Source organism: Homo sapiens, chromosome 5, assembly GCF_000001405.40.
Source record: "Homo sapiens chromosome 5, GRCh38.p14 Primary Assembly".
NCBI lineage: Eukaryota > Metazoa > Chordata > Mammalia > Primates > Hominidae > Homo > Homo sapiens.
The window spans coordinates 36,427,944-36,442,055 of record NC_000005.10 but is presented as its reverse complement, the minus strand read 5'-3'; positions in this window follow the sequence as shown (position 1 = coordinate 36,442,055).

Below are 14,112 nucleotides of genomic sequence, written 5' to 3'. Positions count from 1 at the left end.
TACCTGAGAAGGAGCTAGGATTAGGATTGGAATCCAAAGGCACATAATATAGCCACTTCCTTTCCTAGTCTAGTGGCCTTTGGGGAGGGTATTCGCCAAGTGGGGAGAACAAATGTTGAGGCTGGTGCTGACTATCTTCAGAGCCAAAAGGTGACCTTCTTGTCCCCTCTGCACTCACTGAATCATGGGGACCACATCCCCATCTTCTGATCCCCATCCAAAGCTGGTTGTGCCAGTCACAGATCGCAGAGCCCATCAGTGCCCCAAGGGCCGAGGGGTACATTTCAGGCCTTGTGCAGCCTTCTCTGAGCTGTACTTTCCTTTGATTCTGTTGTTCTTGTTCCATCCGAGTGGGACCTCTGTTCCTATTCTGAAGGCCACTGTTAAGTCCTATTCACTCTGAATGGCTCATTTAGTTCAGTGGGGGTTTGGGTTTTTAGAAGGTTTTCTCTTTTAAATTCCTTTTTTTCCTTTTTTTTTTTTTTTTTTTTTAAGAAAAAGGGTCATAAAGAACTTTAAGATGCCATGCATGAAAAGCTCTGGATAAATGCAGCTTGTACTGGATTGTAAAATACTGTATTGTTCCAACCTTAATTCCTTGTGTGAGACTGGAATTGGTAATTTCCTGGTCCAGGGCAGAGGCTGAATACCAACAGACTGCAGACTGGAAGCAGGGGCGCTGTGGCCTGGGAGCACTTGGGGAGAATTTATGGGGAAACCAGAGGTCTCTACAAGAAATTCTCCTTTTGGCCCAGATTAATTTTCCTGACTTTTGCATTAAAGTAAAATAACATTTTTATGAAAAAGCACATCTCTGCTCTCTGCAGTGGCATTTGGGGGCTGGGGTGTGCCGCTGTCTGGGGTCACAGACCGTTATAAATCACATAAAAAGCTTCCTCAGCTCTTCTGCTCTGAAAACTCACTCTATCTGGGGTGTGAGCATGTTTGCTTAGCGGGCAGTCCTCCTTCTCTGAGCTATGGAGACTGTTTTGACCTTGAATCTCCCTCTCACCTCTCTTGATGCTTAGGTCCCAGAATCACCCAGTTTCATGCCAGCAAGACCGAGAGCCCCTCACATTCGCCACACGTGTCCCTGACTCCTCGTACCTGCCTCTATGCTTCCCTGGAATCCTCCGCTTCCCATCTGTTTCTCTGTAAAGACTGATCATACTTCCCTGCTTCCAAGCCATCTCCTCCTTAAACTATGACTACTTGCAACTTTGTTGGTCTCCCTGAGTCTCTGATCTCTATGGTACTCATAGTCATGAACACACATTTTAAACCCCTTTTTTGGTTTGAGTTTGGTGCCCAGGTTTGATTGTAAACTTCTTGAATGCCGTTCATTTCCTGTAATTTGTATCTGCCATATGTGCTTTCATATGAGCCCAGCATAAAGCCAGAGCCTCATAAATTCCCATTGGTTGGATTTCTGATTGATTGGTTGGTTGATTGATAGATACCCAGGCCCCATATGCCCAGATGTCTGAGGTAGTGCTTTGCTCATGGGGCTCCAGGAGTCAGCAGAGCTGTCCCTGACTCCTGTATTCACATGAGCTGATAATTTCACTCCCCCACCCCCACTTCATCTTAGGAGCAAGATACAGCCTCTGTTCTGGTCCCAGAAAAAAAGTTTACTCGCGCCACAGTTTTGTGAGGTTTCATAGACTTTTACTAAACATTTGCGTAGATGGTCGGGGAGCTACTTTGGCAGGGTGTAGCATCTCACCATCTTCCTTCTGTGTAACGATACACAGTCCTTGTGCATGAGGCTATGTGCTAGCAACCACCTTAAATGACTTATTAAAGTGTTTCTTCTGAACAAATACCATGCTTAGTCAAAGAATAATTGCAATAAATTCTCATTATTCTCCTGGTTTTTACAGCAGCAGTACCCAGAAGCGTTGAGTTTGCCCTCTGTGGATTCAACTACTAAAAGTGTTCATCAGAGAATGCAGCCACTAAGGGAACCTGGGGTTAAAGAGATTTCAGATATTTCCAAGCCTCCTAGTCAGTAGACGGTCACCCTGAGCCTTTTGCCCCTGTCTTAGCACTGTGGGAGACCAAGAGTGAGGTCTGGGTCCCCAGTAAACATTGCCAAAAGTGCCCCTCAAGATCTGGGCATGAAAAAGTAAACAGATCTCCCAGGCAGAGCTTGGCAGCTCAGACCCCCACCCCTCCCTGTCAGGAGCTGTTCACATGGGTGTCTGTGCATCTCTGGCCCCAGGCTGCCACTCTGCCCCAGCTTCCAGCCTCCTGCCTCATGGATATAGCAGGTTTTTAGTCATATACTTTCAGAACAGCATAGATTTCACTTTAAGGAAAAACAGACTTGGTGCTTGGGTCATTGCTGTATCCTTGCTATTACACTTGCCTGAAAGAGTCCCCCTCTCAACTTCTGCTCCCAGGCTTCCCCCTCTGGCTTGGCCTTTTGTGCCACTCTTCTGTTTTTTTTGCTCCTCAGATGTGCACACATTTTAAATAACATTCCTTCCTGAATTTGTCCCTTCATTTCCCCAGCTTCTGTGCTTGGGGACTCTCCAGCTCCCATTCTTTTTCGCGCTAATGTTCTCTTCTCCATCCTTTGTTGACATGCCAATTTATTCAGCGCTTGGCTTCCCCTTCCTCTCCTCACTCTTTTCCATTCCTTACACTTCTCCTAACTGACAAACACTCCCCAACAGTGTGTCTGTGTGTGTTTGGGGTCTAGACGAATAAACCTATTTTGGCCCTCATATCCTTGATGAGGTGGGGAGACAGGTTTCTTGTTCCCCCATATATTCTCCTAAATGTCAGTGCGGTCAATCTGGGCACAGAGCCAAGTTTATGCACAGGCCAATGACTGTGTGCTGTGCAGGGTGCTGGGAAGGCCATGGTAGCAGTCACTCTTGGTTCTTTGCCCACCAGCCATTTTGCCTTTCTTCTTCCTAACTGAACCCTGATTTTGTTTGGGCATATAGCCACCTGTGCAGTCATATGTTTCAGGGGAGGTGAGCTTCATGCCTATTCCTCAGCTGTGACTCTTGATTGTTCTAAGTAATCTTGATTGGTTTAGGCATAAGTATGAGAAACAGTCTAGCCAATGAGAAGGAGAAAGAAGCCTTCAGGGTGGGTTGAAGGAGGGGCATCTGCAAAAGGCTGTCCTCTATCTTTAAATGCTACACTGGGGAGTTAAAGTCCTTCCAATGCCCTGTATGTTGTCTCAAGGCTGGGATGGTGAAATCTACTACAGCCCTCTTGCAAACATGAGAGGTCAAGCCTCAGAAAACAAAAACAAAAACAAAAACGGAAACAAAATATTCTGCAGAGAATGGTAGAAAAGAAATATGAAAAGGAGCTGTGTCCTTGATGGCATCTTTGATCTGCTGAAGCTGCCTTACTCTGAACTTGTTGTGTTTAAGATAATAAATTTCCCTTTCAAGCCATTTGTCCTAGGGCTTATTGTTTCTTGCAACCTAAAGTATCTTAACAAGTAGCTCTTCTGACTGAAAAGATTCCATCAAAACATACTTCTCTGTTCACGTGGGTGTCTGTGCATCTCTCTGTTGCTTAGCTTGTCATACACAGATCATCATCAGCAAGTAGGTACACATTTCATATCACTTTTTATGTGCCAGACACTGTTCTAAATGCATTGCATAAGGTAAATAATCCAACCCTTTCAAAACATTATGAGGTAAATACTCTAATTATCCCCATTACACAGATGAAGAAACTGAAGCATAGAAAGGTTGAGAAAATTGCAGGGTCCCCAAGCAAGTAAGAAGCAGTGGTGGGATTTCAATCTGGACAGTCTAGCACCAGGGCTTATAATCTTAAAATCAATGTTAAACCATCAACTTTGAGTAATTCTAGACCCTGCTAATCCTAGGAGGGGGCACATCTTTCCTGTCCCCATGCAGGTTCGAGTTAGCCGCCTTGCCTTGAGTGTAGGGCACTGTCCACACTTCCTCCTGTGTGTCTCTTCTCCAATGGAAAGAAACTAATGCCAATTTTGTTGGACCCAGAATTGGTGGCTACCTCATCTTTCCACAGCTGAAGATGCCAGGAAAATGCCCCTAAGGTGTCAGGGAAATGTGTCCCAGGGGTCACCATTCTCATGCATGCTTTATTGCTGGTGCAACCAAGGGCTAACTTGATTAAGCCCCCCAAACTTAGGTTAACCTGTCTTGCTTGCTTTTAATCATCTGCTTCTAGTTGAGCTGAAAACCTGTATATACGGTTTGGCTAAAAGTCATGTAGCCACACAATACATAACAAACACCGCCACTAGATTCCATATAGGTAACAGCTCTGATGTATATGGCACTACACTAATGGCTGCTTGAAGTTGTTTCTTAGGACCTAGTTGTTTCTTAGGACCTAGCTGTTTCTTGTCCAGTTTGAACCAGTTGAGACCACCAACCCTTCAACTGGGCCTGTGCAAATGCCTAAGAGGTGACCTTTTGATGTCAAAGGGCCTAAAACTCTTCCCTCCAATCATGCTAACATCACCATTTTCTGAACATAAGTCCTGTGAAGAGCCATGAACATCAACTATGCTTGTGCAAACCACTAATTACCTAATTTTTCCCCACTACCAATCACATTTCCCCACACCTTAGACCACCCTGCTTCTTTACCCTACAAATAGCCTTAAGCCCTGTCTTCAAGGAGGTAGATTTTAGACCTGTTCTCCCACCTCCTTGCTTGGCTCCTTGTAAATAAACTCTTTCTCTGCTGCAAAACTCGTCTTCTCAGTGATTTGCATGCTGTGTGATGGGTAGAATGGGTCTGGTTTGGTATCACTGGCAGGATTGCACCAGGATGAGTAGAACTGGACACTGGGCAGCTTGAAGGCTTGCCAAGGGAAGGCAGAGACTGGGAACCTCCCCACCTTCCCCTGGGCCTCACACTGGCCCAAGTTCAGGTTATCTCAAGTCCCTTCTGCAACTTAGGGATTCCTGGCTTGGGAGAAAATTGCCAAGGTTCCCACAGCTAGGAAGAAGCAACTGTGGGATTTGAATCTTGTAGACTGGATTCCCAGTGACTGGATTTCCAGTGAATCCAGTGTACAAGAACATGGACATTTGTTGTCGAAAGGATTTTAATAATCTCCTGGTCCTACCCTCTTCCACCTCCTTGATAGCACTCAGTGTCAGAAACCACACTAATTATTTTGACAAAGAACATTTAATATGAATGATTATATTCTTCAACTAGGGTTGAAGAATTGAAAAGGCAAAAAGATGTATCACAGAGGAGGGACTGCAGGAAGCAGCTACCATCCTTAGGGCTGTGGAACAAAAGAAGAGATTGGAATTTCTAGAACTTAGAAACCTAGAGAAAAAGACATCTGAGATTGGAGTGCCTGTCTGCTGGTGTTGATGGGGAAAAGAAGTGTTGTTAGGGTTGTGCTGGCAGGACCATGAAGCCCATGGAAACCCAACAAGAAGCCATAGGGAGAAGCAAGTCAGTTCTTCCTCTGCCAACTTTGCAGTCATCCTCTAGTGCTAGCTACTGTAGAGTGTAACATGGTGTCAGATGACACAGCAGCATCACAGAACATAGAAGGGAGGGTTTGAATCTAGAAAACAATAGCTAATTCTCTCTCTGTCTCTCCCACAAGAGAGAATAGCCAAGACGATTGCAAGGGAGATGTTTATCAATGGGAATTCAATAAAGTAAGAAAGCTCTTATTTAACTTCCATCTCATTTGCACTGGAGGCATAAGAGGAGCAACCACGTGAGAATAATGCTCTAGAAAAGTCGGTGTGCATGAGGCTTAAAAGCCACATGGTAGGAGCAACTTGTATATGGTTTGTTGCAGGAAAGTTTAGTGTTTGCTGAGGGGATTGTCATTAGATCTTTTCTGAATTTTAGGTAAAATAAAGAAAGGAATTGGATAACATTTGATTATCTTCTTATTTCTTCCTTTGATGCCTATTATTCCCATAATATTAGCATTGTCCTTTAAAGGATCTTCTCTTCTCTCTGAAAAAATGCTGCCCTCATCTCTTGAGAAACTGGGGAGACTTCATCTCCACTTCTGGGGCAAAGAGTGATGTGTTCCTGGATGAATGAACACTTACTAAGGACTTTCTATGTGCCAAGCACTTAGAAGTACTCTTACCACTTACTACCAGTGTAACCTTGGTCAAATTACTTTTCACACTTATGAAATGGAGATACTGCCTATTTCATGGAGATAGGAAGAATAATGGAGACACTGGAAAGCTCCTAGCCCAGTGTTTCTCATGCCTTGTATCTCATTGTTTGCTTATGTGCTTAAACTCCTTTGATCTCAGCAGTCTTCATAACAACTTGGTGAGAAAAAGCATATCTACCTTCATCTCGCAAGTAAAGAGCCTGAAGCTCCAGGTAGTTAAGTGACTTGCTCAAGACCGCACAGCTGAGCCAACAAAGTGCAACTCGAATCCAAATCTTACTCTTCTAAAATCTGAGTTACGCTGAGGCCAGCATACCACCTTCTAATGACCAAATTGGAACTCAGATTACTGCTACCTATAGAATTGATCTAGAAGTAAATACAATTAGCCCAGAATAAAATGTTCATCTTCCTTAGTAGTCAAGGCAATGCAAATTAAAAGAGAAGCCATTTTTTTAGCCTTTTAAATTGGTAAAGATTTGAGGAAAAGTAGAGCTGGTTAAAATGCTCTGCTTCTGGTGTTAGTTGGCCTGGGTTGAAGTTTCACCTCTAGTACTCACTGGCTGTGTAGCCTTGGCCAAGTCCTGTAATCTGTTGAAGACTCAATTTTCTTATGTGTTAAAGGAAGATTATGGTTGTACTTATCTGATAGAATTGTAGAATTTAAATGAGATTATCTGTGTAAAGAGCTTAGCCTGGGGCCTAGCATATAAATATTTAAAGAATGTCAAAGAAAGGAGAAAGATATTTGATACTAGCGTTGGTAAATGTATAGTGGGACCTGTATTCTCATTTACTGGTAAATGCTCAAACAAGGGCAAGTTGGTCTAACTATTCTGGAGAATAATTTGCACTTTGTATAAGAACTTTAGATGTTCATATTCTTTGACCAAGCAGTTTTACTTCTAAGAATATGTTTTAAGTAAACAATTGAATACGAATGACGTTTCATTTATATAGATGTTCCTTTTAGTGTTAGACAAACAAAAATGGAAACAGTCAAATATCTAATTATTGAAAAAGTATTAAATAAATGTTGGCATTGTCACAGGTTGAAATACTACACAACAATAAAATGATGTTTATGGGACATTTTTAATGATGAAAGAAATACACATATTGTGAGAAAAAGTAAGATGAAGAGAAAGAGCATATGTTAGAATTGTCTTTTCAAATTAGAAGAAAAGGAAAAATTCGATAAGCATTATTAAAATAGTTTTTATCTTACACGTACAAAAATGTTTTATCCTATACCTTATCACTAAATTAAATGTACAAAATTAAAATGTACAAAAGATCTAAATAATGAACAACTGCTCAAGAATATTAGAAGGAAATATCAGCAATTTTTTATGACTTTGGTGTTTATAAATTATTCTTAAGACACACAAGAGCAAAAATCATTAGGGAAAAGGTTACTAAGTTTGATTACATCAAAAATTTAAAAATTCTCTTTAAAACAGAAGCATTCCCTTAGTCAACAAATATTTACTGGGCATCTATTATAATGCCAAGGACTGTTGAATATTCTGGGATATAGCAGATAATGTCTCTGCTCTCTTAAAGCTAATATCTAAGAAGAAGAGGTAGAAAAAGAACAAGTGATAATATAAATATTGAATTTGTTGAGTGGGAGCAAGAACTACTAAAAAAAACACATTAGAGTAAGAAACATAGCAGAAGTGACAGAAGTGAAGATTACTATTTTATTGAGTGAGCAGGAAAACCTTCTCTGAGAATACGACATTTGAGCTGAGGCTTGATGAAATGAAGGAATGAAACATATGGGTATCTTGAGGAAGAAAATTCCAGGCAGAGGGAAGAGCTAACGAAAGCCCTGTGTCAGGAGTATCCTTTATATATTTGAGTTTAGTAAAGAGACCAGCGTAGCTTGAGCAGAGTAAGCATGGGAAAAAGTAGGAGAAGATAAGGTGGGAGAGGTAGAAAGGTGGCAAGTGACACTGGATATCTGGTCCTTTGTATGAATGTTAGGTTTTATTCTGAGTGAGGTGGGAGATTACTGAAGAGAGAAACAGAATTTGGCTTAGGTACAATGAGAGTCACTCTGCCTGTAAGACTAATCTATAAGGTGGCAAGGGTGGTCATAGAGAGACTAGTTGGAGGAGACTGGAAATAATCCACATGACAGGTGATGATGACTTGGCCTAGGCTGACCATGGTGAATATGTTTTAGCTATTCTAGCTCATTTGCTCTTCCATATAAATTTTAGAAACAGCTTGTCTATACAGAATCTACAAAAAATCCTGCTGGTTTAATCTTTAAAGATCAATTAATGGTCTAACACTTTTTCATGATTTAAAAAACTCAAGAGAATAAAAACAGATGGGAACCTTTTCTACCTAATAAAGGGCATCTATGAGAAACCCACAGCTAGTATCACATGTAATGGTGAAAGACTGAGTGCTTTTCCTCTAAGATCAGAAACAAGACAAGGGTATCTGCTCTCACTGCTTCTATTCAACACTGTACCAGAGAATCTAAGCAGGGCAATTAGGCAAGAAAATGGGATAACAGTTATCCAGATCAGAAAGGAAGAGGTAAAATTGCCTCTATTCACAGATGGTACAATCTTGTATATAGAAAATCCTAAAAAATACACACACACACACACACACACACACACATTATTGGAGGTCATAAGAAATTTCCACAAGGTTGCAGGATACAAGACCAATTACAGAACCAGTTGTATTTTTATATTTTTATATATTTTTATACAATAGAATAAAAAGAATAAAACACTTAGGAGTAAATTTAACAACAGAAATGCAAGGTTTGTGCACTGAAAACTGCAAAACATTTTTGAAATAAGGAGTAAATGAACGAAAATGTGTTACATGTTCATAGGTGAGAAGACAATATTGTTAAAATGACAATACTTCCCAAATTTACCCACAGATTCAATGCAATGCTGTCAAAATCCCAGTTGACTTCTTTATAGAAATTGACAAGCAGATCCAAAAATTCATATGGAAATGCAAAGAACCACCCAGAACAGCTAAAACAACTTTGAGAAAGAACAGATGTGGAGACTATCACTACCTGATATCAAGATGCCCATCTCTCTAGGCTCGACTTATTCCTATAAGATATTTTAGCTTTGGGGGAATTGTTGGACCTGAACTCTGCAGGGAGGTTTTGCCCATGAGACGGGGCCATTTTGACCTGAGCACCCCTTGGTCTGCTGGCCTCTTCTGGGACCCAGCCTGGATGTGCCTGCTTGCAAGGCAGCCTCTGGTGCCTTGGGGGCCTGCATCATAGCTCCTGTGCTGATGGACCACCTGACCGGCAGAGTGCTCCAGCAGAGTGGGCCCCATGAACATGCACCAGCTCACCTGTGCTGCCCCCGATGCAGCCTCCCCCTGTGCCACTTTGCCTGCATGCACTTGCCCATGACCTCCCTGCACCATCCTTTTGCTGGTATGCGTACACCTGGGGCGACCTTGTCTTCCCTTCCCAACCAGTGTGCATGTGCACGTGCATCCTGCTGGTGTGACCATACCTTTCTTCCTCCCCCCTCCCCTCCCCCCATCCACCTCCCACTATCCCAATCCTCTGGCCACACCACCACTGTCATCAGAACTTTGGTGGGCATGGAGCCCACCAGCCCCATGCCTGCCAGCACCTGTCCCTGAGCCAACACTGCCACTGGTGCAAAACGAGTCATGGAGAACAGTGGACCCAGCCACTGCTGCCTGTGGGAATGCTCACAGAGGGTGCACACAGTCTTGTGCCCACCAGCACCCCACCCCTATGCTAACACCACCACAACTGTGAACACGTGCACAGTTGCTAATGGCATCCCCACCCAGCCGTGCTGCCCTGCAGCTGCTGTGAACACCCTCATGGAAGCCAGCAACCCAGCACCCACTAGCACCCAGCCACAGCTGATGAGCATGCATCTTACCACTTTTCTGCTGCCACTGCTGCTGGCACATGTGAACAAGGACAGATCCTGATGCCATCACCCTATGAAGTGCTTTGCTTGTCACCATCCATTGGCATGGATGTTGCGAATAGCCATTCAGTTTGGAAGCACTTTGACCCCTCCAGTGCAGCATGTTCCTAACCTTGAGGAGCCAGAGATAAAAGCCAGGCCCTGATACCAGTCCCCCAGAGTAACGGCATGCAGTCCAGGAATCCTATGCTGAGCCTGGGCCCCTTAAAATCTTCCAGAAATGAGACCAGTTGACTGAACTCACCTTATATCACAATCAAGCCTCCAATGTCATCAAGTAGGATAAAAGAAAAAAAATATCCAAAGGACAGCACCTTCAAAGATTGAAGGAAGATTGGCCCACAAAGATGAGAAAGAACCAGCACAAGAACTCTGACAACTCAAAAAGCCAGAGTGTCTTCTTTTCTCCCAGTGACTACACTACCTCTCCAGCAAGGATTCTTAAGCGGGCTGAGATGGCTGAAATGACAGAAATAGAATTCAGAGTATGGATAGGAGTGAAGATTATAGAGATTCAGAAGAACATTGAAACCCAATCTGAGGAAGCTAGGAATCACAATAAAATGATACAGGAGCTGGCAGACAAAATAGCCAGTATAAAAAAGAATGTAACCAATCTGATAGGGCTGAAAAACACACTAGAAGAATTTAATAATGCAATTGCAGATATTAATAACAGAATAGACCAAGCTGAGGAAAGAATCTCAGAGCTTGAAGACTGGCTTTCTGAAATAAGACAGTTAGACAAGAATAAAGAGAAAAGAATGAAAAGGAATAAACAAAACCTCCAAGAAATTTGGGATTATGTAGAGACTGAATCTACAACTCACTGGCATCCCTGAAAGAGATGAGGAGAATGGAAATAATTTAAAAAACATATTTCAGGATATCGATGACAACTTCCCCAACCTAGTTAAAGAGACCAACATTCAAATTCAGGAAATGCAGAGAACCCCCACAAAATGCTTCAAAAGAGTATCTCCAAGACACAAATCATCAGATTCTCCAGTTCAAAATGAAAGAAAAAAACATTAAAGGCAGCTAGAGAGAAAGGTCAGGTCACCTAAAAACGGAGGCTCATCAGGCTGACAGTGGACCTCTCAGCAGAAACCCTACAAGCCAGAAGAGATTGGGGGCCAATATTCAACATTATTAAAGAAAAGAAATTCCAACTAAGAATTTCATATCCAGCCAAATTAAGCTTCATAAGTGAAGGAGGAATAAGATTATTGTCAGACAAGCAAATGCTTAGGGAATTCATTACCACCAGATTAGCCTTGCAAGAGGTCCTGAAGGAAGCACTAAATATGGAAAAGAAAGACTGTTACCAACCACTACAAAAATACACTGAAGTACACAGACCAGTAATGCTATAAAACAAGTTGGCATAATATACAGCTAACAACACAATGACAGTTCAAATCCACAAATATCAATACTAACCTTGAATGCAAACAAGCTAAATGCCCCAATTAAAAGGCACAGAGTGGCAAGCTGGATAAAGAAGAAAGACCCATTGGTATGCTGTCTTCAAAAACCCATCTCACATGCAATGACACCCACAGATTCAAAATAAAGAGATGGAGAAAAATCAACCAAGTAAATAAAAAACAGAAAGAAGCAGGGGTTGCAATCTTAATTTCAGAGAAAACAGACTTTAAACCAACAAAGATCAAAAAACGGCAAAGAAGGGCATTACATGGTGGTAAAGTGTTCAATTCAACAGGAAGACCTAACTATCCTAAATATATATGCACTCAACACAGTAGCACTTACATTCATAAAGCAAGTTCTTAAAGACCTTCAAAGAGACTTAGATTCCCACATAATAACAGTGACAGACTTCAACATCCCACTGACAGTATCGGACAGATCACTGAAGCAGAAAATTCACAAAGATATTCAGGAACTGAACTCAACGCTGGACCAAATGGACCTGATAGACATCTACTGAACCCTCCACCCAAAACCAAAAGAATATACATTCTTCTCATAACCACATGGCACATACTCTAAAATCAACCACATAATCAGACATAAAACAATCCTCAGCAAATGCAAGAGAACTGAAATCATACCAACCACTCTCTTGGACCACAGTGCAATTCAAATAGAAATCAAGATGAAGAAAATAGCTCAAGGCCGGGCGCGGTGGCTCACTCCTGTAATCTCAACACTTTGGGAGGCCGAGGAGGGTGGATCACCTGAGGTCGGGAGTTCAAGACCAGCATGGCCAACATGGAGAAACCCTGTCTCTACTAAAAAATACAAAATTAGCTGGGCATGGTGGCAAATGCCTGTAATGCCAGCTACTCAGGAGGCTGAGGTAGGAGAATCACTTGAACCCGGGAGGCGGAGGTTGCGGTGAGCCAAGATTGTGCCATTGCACTCCAGCCTGGGCAAAAACAGTGAAACTCCATTTCAAAAAAAAAAGGAAAAAAATCGCTCAAAACCATACAGTTACATGGAAATTGAATAACCCAGTCCTGAATGATTTTTGGGTAAATAATGAAATTAAGGCAGAAATCAAGAAGTTCTTTGAAACTAAGGAGAATAAAGATACAACATACCAGAATCTCTGGGACACAGCTCAGACAGTGTTAAGAGGGAAATTTATAGCACTAAATGCACACATCAAAAAATTAGAAAGATTGCAAATTAATGACCTAACATCATAACAAAAAGAACGAGAGAAGCAAGAGCAAACCAAAGCAAGCAAATGACAAGAAATAACTGAACTCAGAGCTGAACTTAAGGAGATTGAGACACAAAAAACCATTCACGCCTGTAATCCCAGAAGTTTAGGAGGCCAAGGTGGGTGGATCACTTGAGGTCAGGAGTACAAGACCAGCCTGGGCAACATGGTGAAACCCTGTCTCTATTAAAAATACAAAAATTAGCCAGGCATGGTGGTGCATGTCTGTAATCCCAGCTTCTCAGGAGGCTGAGGCATGAGAATCACTTGAATCTGGGAGGCAGAGATTCCAGTGATCTGAGATTGTATCACTGTACTCCATCCTGGGTGACAGAGACTCTGTCTCAACCACTGCCTGCCACAACTGAAAAACAAAATTAGAAAGATCAACAAATCCAGGAGCTGGTTTTTTGAAAAAAATTGATAAGAGAGACCACTAGCTAGACTAATAAAGAAGAAAAGAAAGAAGACCCCAAATAAGCACAATTAGAAATGACAAAAGAAATATTACCACTGACCCTACAAAAATACAAATAACCATCAGAGACTATAATAAACACCCATATGCACACAAACTAGAAAATTTAGAAGAAATGGATGAATTCCTGGACACATACAGCCTCCCAAGACTGAACCAGGAAGAAACTGAATCCCTGAACAGACCAAGAGTGAGCTCTGAAATTGAATCAGTAGTAAATAGCCTACCAAAAAAAAAGTCCAGGACCAGACAGATTCACAGCCTAATGCTACCAGATGTACAAAGAAGAGCTGGTACCATTCCTACTGAAACTATTCCAAAAAGTTGAGGAGGAAGGACTCCTTTCTAACTCATTCTGTGAGGCCAGCATCATCCTGATACAAAATCTGGCAGAGACACAATAAAAAAAGAAAACTTCAGGCCAATATCCTTGATGAACATCCATGCAAAAATTCTTAACAAAATACTGGCAAACCAAATTCAGCAGCACATCAAAAAGCTTATCGACCATGATCAAATAGGCTTTATCCGTGGGATGCAAGGTTAGTTCACTATATGCAAATCAATAAATATGATTCATCACATGAAGATAATTAAAGACAAAATCCATATGATTATCTCAATAGATGCAGAAAAGGATTTTGATAAACTTCAACATAATTTCATGTTAAAAACTCTCAATAAACTTGGTACTGAAGGGACATACCTCAAAATAATAAGTGCCATCTATGACAAACCAACAGCCAACATCATACTGAATGAGCAAAAGCTGGAAGCATTCCTCTTGAAAATCAGCACAAAAGAAGGATGCCCT